This window comes from Homo sapiens, chromosome 4, assembly GCF_000001405.40.
Source record: "Homo sapiens chromosome 4, GRCh38.p14 Primary Assembly".
Classification (NCBI taxonomy): Eukaryota; Metazoa; Chordata; class Mammalia; order Primates; family Hominidae; genus Homo; species Homo sapiens.
In genome coordinates, this window is record NC_000004.12 from 128,840,827 (window position 1) to 128,855,248 (window position 14,422).

The 14,422-nt window shown below is 45.7% G+C and overlaps 1 protein-coding gene across 15 annotated transcripts in view; it reads left to right on the forward strand.

Moving 5' to 3' along the window:
- JADE1 (jade family PHD finger 1) overlaps window positions 1-14,422 on the forward strand; it is a 65,525-nt gene that overhangs the window by 31,127 nt on the left and 19,976 nt on the right. For 14 of the 15 annotated variants that reach the window (NM_199320.4, XM_017008626.3, NM_024900.5 and 11 more), the window contains exons 3-6: window positions 2,127-2,212; window positions 5,549-5,706; window positions 8,154-8,341; window positions 11,231-11,442. In NM_199320.4, the coding sequence (NP_955352.1) occupies window positions 2,127-2,212; window positions 5,549-5,706; window positions 8,154-8,341; window positions 11,231-11,442 (644 nt within the window). The remainder of the gene's footprint in view (window positions 1-2,126; window positions 2,213-5,548; window positions 5,707-8,153; window positions 8,342-11,230; window positions 11,443-14,422) is intronic. The other variant, NM_001287437.2, reaches the window with a different exon arrangement.

The window sequence follows — 14,422 nt, forward strand, 5'->3', positions numbered from 1 at the left end:
TTTCTAAAACATTTACTGAAATGCCATGGGGCCACCAGCAGGAGCTCCAGTTCTGCTGATTGTGCTGGTGGAACAGCAGTCAGTTGACCTAGTAATGAGCCTCAGAACTGGTGCTCAAGGGTAGTGCCGATGTTGTCCCTGTCAGGGAAGCATGGCAATCCCATTTGGTCTTGGTCATCGCAAATCTGATGATAGGCTTATGTGCAGAATCTATTTCTTAAGGTCCCCAAGGTCTTAAGGGTGCTTTGATTCTCTGTTCCTGTCTCTGGAATCTGTAGAGATAAGAGCTTCCTGTCTGAGTGACAAATGATTTCACTGGCAGAATGGCAGTTAACCTTAAGCTTTTTTGGCTTTTATTTTTCTGGATTTTGTTAATTTCTGGAAAATGGTACAGTAGGTGTTCAGGATTGGGGTGATGATTATTAAAAATAGGAGGTGGAGGTGAATTATCAGAAAGTTGGACAAATACTACATGTGGGTGTTAGGGTTGTTTCAGATCTCTGGCAGCAGTACGGCACCCACAAATGGAAGGTTTTGCACTTAAGTTGTCTTTGTAACAAATTAACAGGAGGCAGAGGCAGAGATGGAGAAGAGGAGCTGGAATTATTGGGAAGTTGAATTGACCTACCATTGATTGTGTCCTGAATGAGAAGAGTCTAGGACAACTCTTAGATTTCTGACGTCAAGTAGAAATGGTGGTAATAGTCATCAAAGTAGGAATGTAAGAGGCAGAACAGGTTTGGGTAAAATGTTGAGCTCAGTTTTTATAATGCTGAGTTGACAGATCTAAGGAATACCTTAGGATTGATGTCTTATGTGAAGGTGAAACTGGATCTGGAGCTTGGGAGGGAGGTTAGTCTGGGAATGTAGGTCTGGCAGGTTCCTCTGGGTGTGCTGGGTAAGACTGTGGACATGGGTGAGCACCCCCGGGGAGAATATTTGGAGCAAGAAAAGAGCAAAGAGTTCAGGAGAAACCCATGTTGATGGGGTACATGGAGAGGAGGAACCCACAGAGTGGAAAGAGAATTGCCACTGAGGCTGAGGGAGTATTTCAGGCAGGATGGAGTTGTTGGTGCTGAGAAGTGTCAGGGCAGAGAAGAGATCAGACTTGGCAGCAGTTGGGAGACCCTGTTAGGCAGCAGTTAGGTACCATGTTCTGGGGGAGGCCAGATGATAGGAGTAGACCCCCCTTTGGAAGAAAGGCAGAGAACAGAGCCAACTGGAATTTTCATGGGAAAGTGGAGCAAATTTTAAAGGTTATTTGGCAATTGGCCCCTTAGTCTTCACTAAGTTTGTTTACCTCCCGTCCTCTCTTCTTATGGCACTATGCTAGCTATTTACTACACCATAGGCCTGAGGTTCCCTGTCTAGGGATTGCTAAGTTTTTAGGCCTTGTAGAGTGAAACCTTTTTTTAAAACAGTGTTTTAGAAAGCTTCCTGAAAACTCAGTAAGATGTTTTTCTTTTCTTTTCTTTCTTTCTTTTTTTTTTTTTGACAGAGTCTTGCTCTGTCCCGCAGGCTGGAGTGCAGTGACGCAGTCTCGGCTCACTTCAGCCTCTGCCTCCTAGGTTCAAGCAATTCTCCTGCCTCGGCTTTCCGAGTAGGTGGGATTACAGGTGCCTGCCACCACGCGAAGCTAATTTTTGTAGTTTTAGTAGAGGTGGGGTTTCACCAAGTTGGCCAGGCAGGTCTTGAATTCCTGACCTCAGGTGGTCCACCTGCCTTGGCTTCCCAAAGTGCTGGGATTACAGGCGTGAGCCGCCACCCCTGGCCTGATATTTTTTCAATTTGTATTTAGCAGCATGAGACTTTGAACCTCTTCAGTGCAGGCTTATGGGTGAAGACTACACCTGCATGGTGTTCTTAAAGTCCTCTCTTCTGTTGGGTGTGGTCCTTGATACAGCATCCCTGCACAGAATGAGCACATTAGGCCTGCTTATGAGAGGTGAGAGTTAAATAACTGATGGACGTGGAAGAGCTCTGTGAGAGCCAGGAGGGCATCACAGGTGGTCTCATGGTGCAGTGCTGAGGTGAGCCTGGGATGAGTTTGGGTAAGAAAACCCCTGAGAACACTCAGTGACCCCTGCAATTTCTAATGGTTCTTATTTGGATATTTGTTTCTTTAGGCCTGTCAACTACTTGGTCCCAGAATTCCCGATCCCAGCATAGGAGAAGCTCCTGCTCCAGACATGAAGATCGAAAGCCTTCAGAGGTACTTCTTGAATGCTTGCCTGACCGTGCATGAATATATGCTATCCCATATGCCTAGTTGAGTGGTATCTATTTGTGCAGTCCTGGGCAAATTATTCAAATCCTTGTGCTCCAGTTTCCAAATCTGTAAGACGGGGAGAACACAAGTGTCTACCTCATAGGATTGTTGTGAGGATTAAGTGGGTTAATTCACATAGACTAATACATGCAAAGCATGTGAATAGTTGCTGGCACATAAAAAGTGCTCAGTAAATGTTAGTTATTATTATTAATTACATTCTTTTTTTCCTTTCTTGTTGCATCTTCGCTGGCTCCCAACAACTTTTCTTCCTCTGGCCAGGATATCAGCAGGTTCAGCTGCTGCCAAGTCACTGCCAGCCTCAAGTTAGTTTTAGCCATGGGTTTGTGGCTTATTTGGCAACAAGCAAAACTCTGGGACTTTTGTTTAGGGGATTATGCTGAAGGCTTTCCCCATTCTTTCTCAATTTGTTTCTCATCTTATGTTTCCTCTGCTCCCTAACTTTTGTTATCTATCTATCTAAAGTTGCTTTTAGGTGCATTTCTTTCTGCTGGTCTTTGTTTAGGGGTCCTTATGAGACCTGAGGTCTGTTTATTCTAAAGACTTTTGCTAGGCTTTAAATCATCGAAGAAAAACATTTTATTTTATCACAGTTTTCAAGTGAGAAGGTTATAGGAAGAGTTTCTTTGGTTGAATGCTTTGCTTTGTGCTGCTTCTTATGGGATGAGTTCACAAACAGCCTCATCCTGTAATGGCAATGCATAGGCAGATATTCCTTGGAGGAACTTCCCAGGCTCTAATAGGGAACGTCAGAAGGCTGCCCTGCTGTGGAGTGGAGGAGTTATTTGGTTGTGGAATAGCTTCCTCCATGAGGAAGTAGTTTACATCCTTTAGAATTGTGGAAAACCATCCCAGGAGGCACTTTAGCATGAGATCAAATGTACTTGGGAAGGTAGCCACTTCTTCCCCTTACTTTATTTCAGGCCTTTTTTCCTTTGAACCTTTAGTGCTCTCTTCCTTTTCTTTGCCAAGGAGTGTCTCTGCTGCTCTTTATTTCTTAATTCCTTGTGCTGTGTCTGTAACCCCCAAAATACCTTTCTGATGTTCACACTAAACTCCTGTTACTTCAGCACAGGAATACAAGGGGGACTTAGCAGCTGTGACCTGGTGTGACGAGGGCTGGTCCCCAGTGGTGTAGTTCGAAACCTACTTCCAGCAGTGACACCAAGCATGGAGAAGGGGGCCCAGCAGCACGGGTTGCTGTGCTGGCTTTGTCCCAGCCCTACATTTTGGTCCAGATGTTTTTCTCAACCCTGAGTCCAAACTATATGTATGGCACTAACATACTCTACCAGAGACTCCAGAGTTGACGTCCATTTGAGGGCCTTTGTTTCAGTTCTTGACTGAGTCTTTGAGCAAAGGAATAGCAGGCTGCCTTTTTTTCATTTCATTGCTTCAGTTTGATTTTCTTTCTTTTTTGGCAAACTCCTTTGTTTTTTATTTATATCAGTTAGTTGGAATATGTTTTTACCTGATTGGCTCTTGAAGGTATAGGCCCATCTCTTAGGTTTTAAAGTACTTTTCTCTTGGGGGCCAGGGAGTTGGTGTCCACTGGGCTGGGCACCTGCTTCTGCGGCTCTATGCTTGAAGGGAAGGATCCTGGTATTACACGTGATTTTTGTGGGAGGTGCATGGCCTAATTCTTGCTTGTTAATAGGTCTTTAGAAATGAAGAGTGGCATACTGGGGAATAGTCCGTATGGAAAATGACAGGCAGGAGAAATGGCCTCTTTATTCAGACACTGCCTCAGACTTTATTATGGGGAAGTTTATTAAAGTGATCACTAGCCTGAAAAGCCACCAGGAAAAACAAATATGGACCTATTAGCAGGCGTATGATGTGAACTGTGCTTAGTAGCACAAGAAAGAACTCCCTGTCCTGAGAAAAGAGAGTTCAGCATTGTGACTTGTGTAAACAGACAGGGCAGCTTACAGATGCAAGCTTGCTCGATGCCAAACACAACTTTGGGCTGGTCCTGATGTCAAGGTCAGAGCTTTCTTATGCAGCCTTAGACACCAGTGGGCCAAGGACGAGGCTTGAGAGGGAGCCAGCTGTGCAGCCCTGGCTGGGAGGCGGTGTTGTGCTCCACCCCAGGGGCAGGCCTCACTGACCAAGGATGAATGCCACAGGCCCAGGAGTCTGCAGTGGCATAGGCACTGGGATGGCTGCCTTTCCTGTGGTTTCCTTCATTTGGCCTGTGATAAGGAATTGGGGAGCTCTCTCGGTAGAGGGGCACTGTTGGATCTGCCTGTTTTTGGCAGAGTGGGGAGAGGGTAGTGACTTTCTCTATTTCCTTTCCCCACAAATAACTCTTCCCAGGTAGAAGTTTTGCCAGGTGAAGGTGTGCAAACATGTTTTTTGCAGGCCCATCAACCCAGTGGCCTGTGGTTGCTTCTCTTCCAGATTTTTCTAGGCCAGCCCAGACCTTGACTTCACCAGCTACCATACCATAAACCCTGGTGCCCTGGGAGGTAGGGCCTGGGTGGGGGCAGTCTCATTATAGAAGGTGAGTCCCTGGCCAGGAGCAGTGGCTCATGCTTGTAATCCCAGCACTTTGGGTGGCCGAGGCAGGTAGATCATTTGAGGTCCTGACCTCAATGGTTTGAGACCAGCCTGGCCAACATGATGAAACCCTGTTTCTACTAAAAACACAAAAATTAGCTGGGCGTGGTGGCGTGCACCTGTAATCTCAGCTACTCGGGGGTGCTGAGGCAGGAGGATAGCTTGAACCTGGGAGGCAGAGGTTGCAGGGAGCCAAGACTGTGTTACCGCACTCCAGCCTGGGTGACAGAGCAAGATTCCATCTCAGAAAAAAAAAAAAGGAGATGAGTCCCTGGTGGTTCTGGGTTTTGGCTTGAAGTTGTTACATGGTTAGTGGAGTTATATTTCTAGAGCACCCTTGAGTGCAGTATCTCCCTTCAGAGATTTCCAGGTACATGTTTTCAGCAGCCCTTTTGGTGAACTGAGAGACATTTTTCAGAGGCGGACAACAAGATTTTTTGTTGTTTTTGTTGACGTTGTTGTGGACACTATGGACTGAGGGAGTGAGAGGGCAGTGTTCCCTCAGCACTGCCACCCCCCATGCCTGAGTGAGGTAAAAGGCGTGTCAGGCAAAGTTTTTCTGTAATAGGTCAGGCTTGTTCTATGTTGATACAGTGACCTTGTTACATGGCAGCTCCATGGTTACATTGCAGCTGCCAGCACTCTGAATAAGAATGCAAATATCAAATGTCAGTGTCCCTTTCTCTTCCTTTCCAGGTGTTTAGGACAGACCTGATCACTGCCATGAAGTTGCATGACTCCTACCAGCTGAATCCGGATGAGTACTATGTGTTGGCAGATCCCTGGAGACAGGAATGGGAGAAAGGGGTCCAGGTGCCTGTGAGCCCGGGGACCATCCCTCAGCCTGTGGCCAGGTAGAGATGCCCTGAGGACAGAAGCCTCTCCACCCACCCTTGCTCTTCTTCCCTGACAGCAGGCATCTGAGAAGAGACAATTTCTGTGGGAAGAGACAGTTTCTGAGTTAGCATTAAAATATCATGAGGCCTCAAGTGGAAATAGAAATTCAGGAGCAACATACTTCAGGCATACAGGGTAGTGGTTTTGAGGGCCATGAGCCTCCAAACTTAACATTACAGCCACCACTGTGGGGAGGTGCTGCTTTCTTATGAGAGGAAGGCAAATTCCAAGACATCCTGGGAAGTGATGGGCTAGGGGAGGAAAATTTGGGTGTTCACACGTCTGCATCCTCTTTTCCTGCCCTCCGTATTCGCTCTGGAGAGTGGCTCTCCTGGAGAGAAGCATCTGGCTTTGTTGGGAACTAGCGCGGGCAGCTGCTCTGCCTACTGCGGTTGCCTCTGCCTTTGGAGGAGGACAGGTGTTAGGAGACCTGTCAGTTAGGGTTTGTGGAGAGGGGAGTTTTGGAGGGATTTATTTTGACTGGTCACATTATTCTTGGGGTACGTTCTCTGGATTTACTGACTTATCTTTAAGGATCCCTCAGGGTCGAGTCCCTGCCGACTCTCCTCACAATCAGGTTGCAGCTAGTTTACTCATTTCCTCACTGTGCCACTCTGTGCCACCTGGAGAGTCCTGTTAGGAGGGAGGCTTGAGTGCCCTCTGTGCTCAGCCGGCACCTGGCTTCTCCGCCATCATCAGTTGGCTGCTGCTTTGCGAAATAGTGTCTTTCTCCACGCTGAGTCATTACTGAACTTGCTTCCTGGCCCTCACCCACTTTGTGTCTCTTTTTTTGGGCACTTAAGATTATCAAATTTGAGTTGTCATTTTGGGATCTCTGGGGAGTCTATCCAGTGGTGACAAATGCCCCTGTCTTACTCAGGTTTAGGTGACCAGTCAGGAGTGCCAGGATGGCCCCCACAGGCTAGAGTCTGGACCTGTGGAATGGAGTGGTCATGGGGCCCTGCGGGGCAGACCAGGTATCTGCCTCAGAGCCTGTGTCTGAGATGCAGCATCACCTGATTCAGCACTGGCAGCCCCAGTCCAGGAATCACTTGCTGAATGCTTCACTTTCAGTGGGGAGCCAGGACAGAAGTGAGCATTAATACAGCTTGTGGAAGTTTTACAAGCTGTATTAAAGTTGGAGCCCTGAGCAAGTTGGATCCCTGCTCTTGGCTGAGTAGGAGAAATAAATCCCTTCAGTTTGTCCATGTCAGTGTCACGTAGATAAAATCACTCCCGTAATATAAGGGTGATGAAGGTACTCTGACAGACTCTGGGCAGCCTGTTGACAGTAATTTAAACTGTGGAAATGCATATGTGGAAGGACTTTGTTGAGGCCTGGGGTCTGTGATTAGGAAGATGGCCTTTTTTTGGTTCCAAGTCGGGAGTGATTTGCTCTTGCACATGCAGTCTTATTTTGAGTGGGGTGAGTTGGAAGGCACCACTCCAGGTGTTAAAGGTCGGGAGAGATTGTGTGGCAGTACCAGGAGGAGAAACTTGTGCTTTTGTTCCTGGGATCATGGGTATATGTTGGGAGAGTCAGTCCCCTTCTTGGCTGGGACTCTGTTTCTTAGATTTTTTGGTAATGGCCGGGGTCTTATTTCCTTTTTTTTGTTTGCGTTTGAGACAGTCTCACTCTGTTGCCCAGGCTGGAGTGCAGTGGTGCAATCTTGGCTCACTACAACCTCCGCCTCCTGGGTTCAAGCAATTCTCCTGCCCCAGCCTCCCGAGTAGCTGGGGTTACAGGCGTGTGCCATCATACCTGGCTAATTTCTGTATTTTTAGTAGAGATGGGGTTTCACTGTGTTGGCCAGGCTGGTCTCAAACTCCTGACCTCAAATGATCCGCCTGCCTCGGCCTCCCAAAGTGCTGGGATTACAGGCTTGGGCCACCTTGCCCCAGCCCAAGGCCTGATTTTCTTTTCCCTCTCTCCCTCTTTTTTTTTGTGAGGTGTGAGGGTTGGCGGGTTTCTCCCTCTGGTTCTCAGAGTCTGCTGCGCCTGCCCTGCCTGTGTGGTGCCCTGGTTCTAATGGCCTCCAGCAGGGATGGGCAGGTCTGGTTAAGGGAAAGTGATTTAATGACTAACTCTTGAAATGTATGGGTCAGTGTGTTTTGGTGTTGGCTGCAGGCCAGAGTGGTCAGAGGTGGTGGGCAGGGCACAGCAGGGTCCCGGGAAGCAGATTTTGAAGGCTTCTACAGTGTTTTCATTTGTATCTATTGCCTGTTAGCAGGCTTTAACAACTTCTAGTTAAGGTTTTATTAGCAGTGACATTCAGGTTTTCAGCCTCTGGTGATGACCTGGGGCTCTAAGGGTTGGAAGAGGAAGACATTTGGGGCCTTGTGGCACACTTCATTGTCTGTGGCTGAAAGGGTAACCTGGCTGCCTTGTTTTTTTATTATCCAGGGTTGTGTCTGAAGAGAAATCCCTCATGTTCATCAGGCCCAAGAAGTACATCGTGTCATCAGGCTCTGAGCCTCCCGAGTTGGGCTATGTGGACATCCGGACGCTGGCTGACAGCGTGTGTCGCTATGACCTCAATGACATGGATGCTGCATGGCTGGAACTGACCAATGAAGAATTTAAGGAGATGGGTGAGAGACCATGTATTCTATTATTTTATTAACCAATGATGAATAGAGACATTTTAGGCAGGTAGGTGAGTAGCAGAAAGCTCCTTATTGCCAGTTGCAGGCAGCTCCATCATAGCTTTAGTCAGTGAGAATCGCAGCCCTGCCTTAGATCTCAGCCTGTTTGGCTGTGTCAGATGTGCTGAGATGGTTTCAGAGTGGAAGCAAGGCTCCTCGGCTCAGGCACCAGGGATTCCCATCCCCGCTCTGATCTAACTCCCTCATTCACTTACCTTAAGGAAGCTGAAGTCCAGGGAAACGAAGTGACAAAAGGGCATGGCCCACAGTTACCTGCTCTAGTGTTTTTTTCCTGTGATGCCATTCGGATTCCTTCTTTAGCCGTGGTTTGCTGCTTCTCTAAATGAACACTCTTCCAGGCATGCTCCCCATTTCCAAGCACATCATGTGTGTTTTAACTTGAGCGATTTTCCTTATGTCATGCTGCAAACCTGGAGTTCTTTTTCCCTCCGTTTATCTCTGTCCTGGCTTTCCTTCAGTGAAGCCTGACATTAGCTGTGTGCCCAGCCCTTCTCCACCTCTTTTCTGCAAGCTCATTTTAGCGTATGTAGACGTTGGAGCATCTCATGGTGTTGAGACTGGGATGGCGTATAGGTCTCATCTCACATGCCAGTCCTGATTGCTAAGGGTTGCCTTGAGGGTCTTGATGAACAAGACAGTGGAGTCAAGTCTGGGCTCAGTGTGAAAAACTGTGAGGATTAATTAGCTTTTGTGCTGTAGGTACACGGTGGGGAGGTGGTGGCAAGGGCCATGTATTGTAATCTAGGACATAGTAAATAATCACAAGATCGGCCGGGCTTGTTGGCTCATGTCTGTAATCCCAGCACTTTGGGAAGCCAAGGTGGGCAGATCACCTGAGGTCAGGACTTCAAGACCAGCCTGGCAAACATGGTGAAACCCCGTCTCTACTAAAAATACAAAAATTAGCTAGGCGTCGTGGTGGGTATCTGTGGTCCCAGCCACTCAGGAGGCTGAGGCAGAAGAATCACTTGAGGTGATTCTTCTCAAGTCACTTGAGGGGGTGGAGGTTTCCTTGAGCCGGGATTGTGCCACTGCATTCCCACCTGGGCAACAGAGCCAGACTCCATCTCAAAAAAAAAAAAAAATCACAAGATTTTTGTCATGGTGGATTTCACAGCCTTGAAGGGCCAAGACCTTTTGCGTCTTTCCAGGGAACGTAGCATAGGGTGTGGCTTGCAGTAGATGCTTGTCCTGCCATTAGGCTCACCACCTGTTGAATGGGAGTGATAATGTAGACTGAGCTGAGCATGGTGTTGTCTTCTACTCGCTCAGTTACTCAAGTGTTTTTATAGACAAAATAGACTTCCTTCTTCTTGGTCCTGCTTTAGGTATTAATGGCCAAAACATTAGCAGGCCACAAGGTGGTTTTATGGCATGAGTTCAGGAGTTCTCAGAGATCTTTTGGAATTGAATACTAAATTTTAGCTTCACAGATGATACAGTTTCTGCTGTGTTGTAAGCACATTATAAAGACCAGTGTAATACACTTGACTGGAATCTAGGTGTCCTGTGTTAAGTCAGAGGACTCAGCCCAAAGACTCTTCGCATTTATGAATGGTTTAAATAATAAGAACTGGGCTAATCCATATTTGAAGATACTGTTGAATACATTGGCAAGATTAATTTTGTAATTTTATAACATAAACGGAACGCATGCTTAAATATGTTTGTCTTAGCTGTTATTGGTCTTTTTTTCTTTCTTTTTTGAGATGAAGTCTCGCTCTGTGGCCCATGCTGGAGTGCAGGGGTGCAATCTCGGCTGACTGCAACCTCTACCTCCTGAGTTCAAGCGATTCTCCTGCCCCAGCCTCCCAAGTAGCTGGGATTATTGGCACCTGCCACCATGCCTGGCTAATTTTTGTATTTTTAGTAGAGACAGGATTTCGCCGTATTGGCCAGGTTGGTCGTGAACTCCTGACCTCAAATGATCTACCTGCAAAGTACTGGGATTATAGGCATGAGCCATCGCGCCTGGTGTTTCAGTCTTTTTTGCATTTGGTTAACTATGTTTTTCAACCTTGTAGAAGTAAGAGGATGAGGAGGGATAAACCATTTAAAAATATTTGAGTGCCCAAAGTGAAATCTGTTTTGAGAGAACTGTTTTACCTACCAAGAAAGGCAAATTTTTAAAAACATCCATACCATTATATGAAGTCATGGTTTTGAAGTCACTTACGTGTTAGTTGTTATGTGTAATGAGTATAATGAAATGACTTATTCAACAATGTATGTATTTAATATCCTTGAATCCTTTTAAAATTTACCTTTTGCTTTTCCATTTACTACACTGCATCTTCACTACCTGACCATAGGAAAATAACAGTTTCCTGGAAGACTCTCCCCTTTGAAGATTGTTTCTTAGAAGGATCTGATAAGCATTTAATAAAAAATTTTGGGGCCCTCAGAGATGGATGCATCGATGGGTTGATTGATTGATAGATTGAGACACGGTCTTATGTCACTCAGCCTGGATCACAGTGGCACAGTCATGGCTCACTATAGCCCCAACCTCCTGGGCTCAAGCAGTTCTCCCACCGCAGGCTCTTGAGTAGTTGGGACTACAGGTGTGTGCCACCACGTCTGGCTAATTTTCATATTTTTTGTAGAGATGGGGTTCCACTATATTGCCCAGGCTGACCTTGAGCTCTTGGGCTCAGATGTGAGCCACCACGCCTGGCCAGTGATTGGATTTATTTATTGTACAATTATTTATTCATTATACATTATTTTTAAGTATAAATAAACCAGTACTATTTTGTAATATTTATTAATATGGATTTATTAAAATGGGTTTTGTGGCATTTTTAACTTCAGGAATGCCTGAACTAGATGAATACACCATGGAGAGGGTCCTAGAGGAATTTGAGCAGCGATGCTACGACAATATGAATCATGCCATAGAGACTGAGGAAGGCCTGGGGATCGAATATGATGAAGATGTTGTCTGTGATGTCTGCCAGTCTCCTGATGGTGAGGACGGCAATGAGATGGTGTTCTGTGACAAATGCAACATCTGTGTGCACCAGGTATGTGGGGCAGGGAGGCCAGAAAGAAGAAACCTGGGGCATGAGCCTGTCTGCTGTGGGAGTGTATGCCTGGAGTCCAGGATTCTTCCTCCGAATGGGGTCTGTGTTTCTACGATTTAAAGAAATGTGCCCTATAGACTTTATTTTTCCCTAGTAGGTTCTTACAGTGATTGAAATATATCCTCTGCTTTTGCAGCCAGAAGGATAGCACCCTCTGTGGAAATCGTCTTTCTTCACAGTGTTTTATTCTTATCCATAAAAGTCAAGTTTACTTAAAAAGAATGTATGAGCCCCCTCTGTCCTACTGTAACACTTAAATTTAGGTATTAAGAACACTGAGAAAACAAACCTTTGAAAAGGTGGTTAGTGTGCTGTATTAGTTTCTTACAGCTGCCCTGTGGAACAGACAAATTACTACAGACTGTGTGTGCTTAAAACAACAAAAATGTATTGTCTTGTGGTTCTGGAAACTAAAAGTCCAGAATTGAGGTGGTGGCAGTGCTGTGCTTCCTCTGAAACATGCAGGAGAGCCCTTCCTTGCCTCTTCGTAGCTTATGGTGATTTGGGCAATCTTGGGCATTCCTTGGCTCGCGGCTGCCTTCATCATCATGTGTGTTCTCCCTGTGTCTCTGTCTTCACATGGTGGTCTTCTTTTTTTTTTTTTTTGAGATGGCTGGAGTGCAATGGCGTGGTCTTGGCTCACTGCAACCTCCGCCTCCTGGGTTCAAGTGATTCTTCCTCCTCCGCCTCCCGAGTAGCTGGGACTGCAGGAGTGTGCCACCACACCTGGCTAGAGATGGGGTTTCACTATGTTGGCCAGGCTGGTCTCGAACTCCTGACCTCATGATCCGCCCACCTTGGCCTTCCAAAGTGCTGGGATTACAGGTGTGAGGCACCGTGCCCGGTCCACATGGCGGTCTTCTTAGAAGGGTACCAGTCGTATGGGACTAGAGACCCACCCTACTTCAGAGTGAGCTCATCTTAAATAATTACATCTGCAATGACTACTTCTAAATCTAAAGAAGGTCACATTTTGAGATATTTGGAGTTAGGACTTCAACATGTCTTTTAGAGGACACAATTTGCCGTCATATTTGTGAGCATGTGTTAGGGTATAAGCTGAGCTGTTAGAGGAAAGCAGCCCCTTTTCCTGAAGACGATTTCCTGTCTTAAAAAACAGGACAGTAGGTTTTGGTGATTGCTTGCTACCATCCACAGAAAGGGAAACCCTTAGATTTCAGGAGGATGGGCGCTAGGTAACTTAAAAAGTTTATGACAATCTCAGTGCCTCTTTTTTATTTAGTTTTTAATGCAGTAATGAAGAAATTTGGATTTGGGTGGGGACATGTGCCCACGTATATTCTTAGGATTTAAAAGGCTATCCTGAAGTACTTTCTTTAAATTCACCTGTTGATGCTGAGATTTAAAGCAAACTTAAAAGAAAGACTTGTATGGAATAGGTGCTTGGTGACTTCTTGGGAAGAAGAAGCACGTTTGCTCCATGAAGTTCTTGATTACCCTTTGCTTCATAATTTGTGACCTCCTAGGCTTTCCCTCTGTCTGAAGACCTCCCCAGCTGTGGCCCAGTCCTGGCTCCTTGATAGGGAGACCTGCGACTCCTGCTTCAGTCATCGCCGTCTGTTGCTCTGGATCTCACACTGTCTGGGAAGTCTCCTTACGGTAGTGAGAATTCCTGTGGTGGCTTTGTTCTGTGACATGAGCATCCTGATGACCAGTGTTGCTTTTTTGGTTGCTGGTGCTTCATGTATTTACTTGGCTGACTTCTCAGTCTTTTTCTTGTCTTTACTTGCTATTTTTTTCCCCATGAAAAATTTTTTTGAGTAAAAGCTTTCTGCTTGAAAACTGGTCAACCCCTGTGTTATCAGTGAGTTAACTGATGTCAGGGCAGGCTTGTGCAAGCTCTCACGGTGGACGTGTGGCAGAGTTGTAACTTAAGGCTTTTGGATGCCCCCTTCTCACCTTCTCTTCTTTCTGCCATATCACCTTTTCTCTTTTCCTCAACATTTACTTCATTTTTCCTTTGAGAAATCCTTCATGGCTTATCTTTAAGGCATACTTTATGTAATCTCCTAAATTAATTTAGACCTGCTTTTCCAGGAAAAAAATTTCTTCCTTCACATGTGGCTGTAGAATGTCTGATACAGACCTTTAGTGTTTTGAAACCTTTATAGTGTCACTTAACTCCATTAAAAATTTTTTTCTAGTAAGTCTGCGTTGACGGTAGCTTATTTATGGCCCCCAAACAGCACTCTGAGGCTTCCATCTGAAGTGTGACTTTTCTTTGCTCAACTCTCATCCTTGTGGTTTCCTCTTTGCATCGTCGTGGGTATTCAGATTGCATAGTGGCTGTGTTTTTTCTGTCTGAAGAATTAGAGCTATGCTACTGTGACTCTCGACTTCCTGACTTCCAGGTCATTTATGAATAAAGTGCTGAACAGTTGGGTTTTTAAAGGGCTCTCTGAATATGCTCCTGGTACCATCGTGGTTTTTATTTATTCAGTTATTTAACATTAACCTTTTCTGTCTTTGAACTGTCTTAATTACTTTAGTTGTAATAGCCTTGATTTCTGCAGTTTATGCCATCTTGTTTAATTTTGCCATCTTGTACAAAACAGGCTTTGTTTTATTTTTTAATTTAAATTGTTTTTTTTGTCTCCATTTCTGAAAGGCTGAATTTGTTTTAAATACCAGCTAAGGAGACGACATTCTTCCTGTGTAGAAGGTCTCCTTTTTCTGCCCTGTTTTGTTCACTGGGAGAGTGCTGGGATCTAGTTGGTATGGAGTTTGCTTAGCCTAGGGAGTGTGCATGCTTCTCTCCTGTTCCATTGCCATCTCATTCAGCAGCTTTGGGAGATTCTCTCAGCTGCTGTATGCTTTTTCTCCACACTCTGTATTCCACCCCACCTCTGTCAGTAAAGTAGAGAAATAGCTTCTCTCACGGAACCCTGTGGAGTGTTTC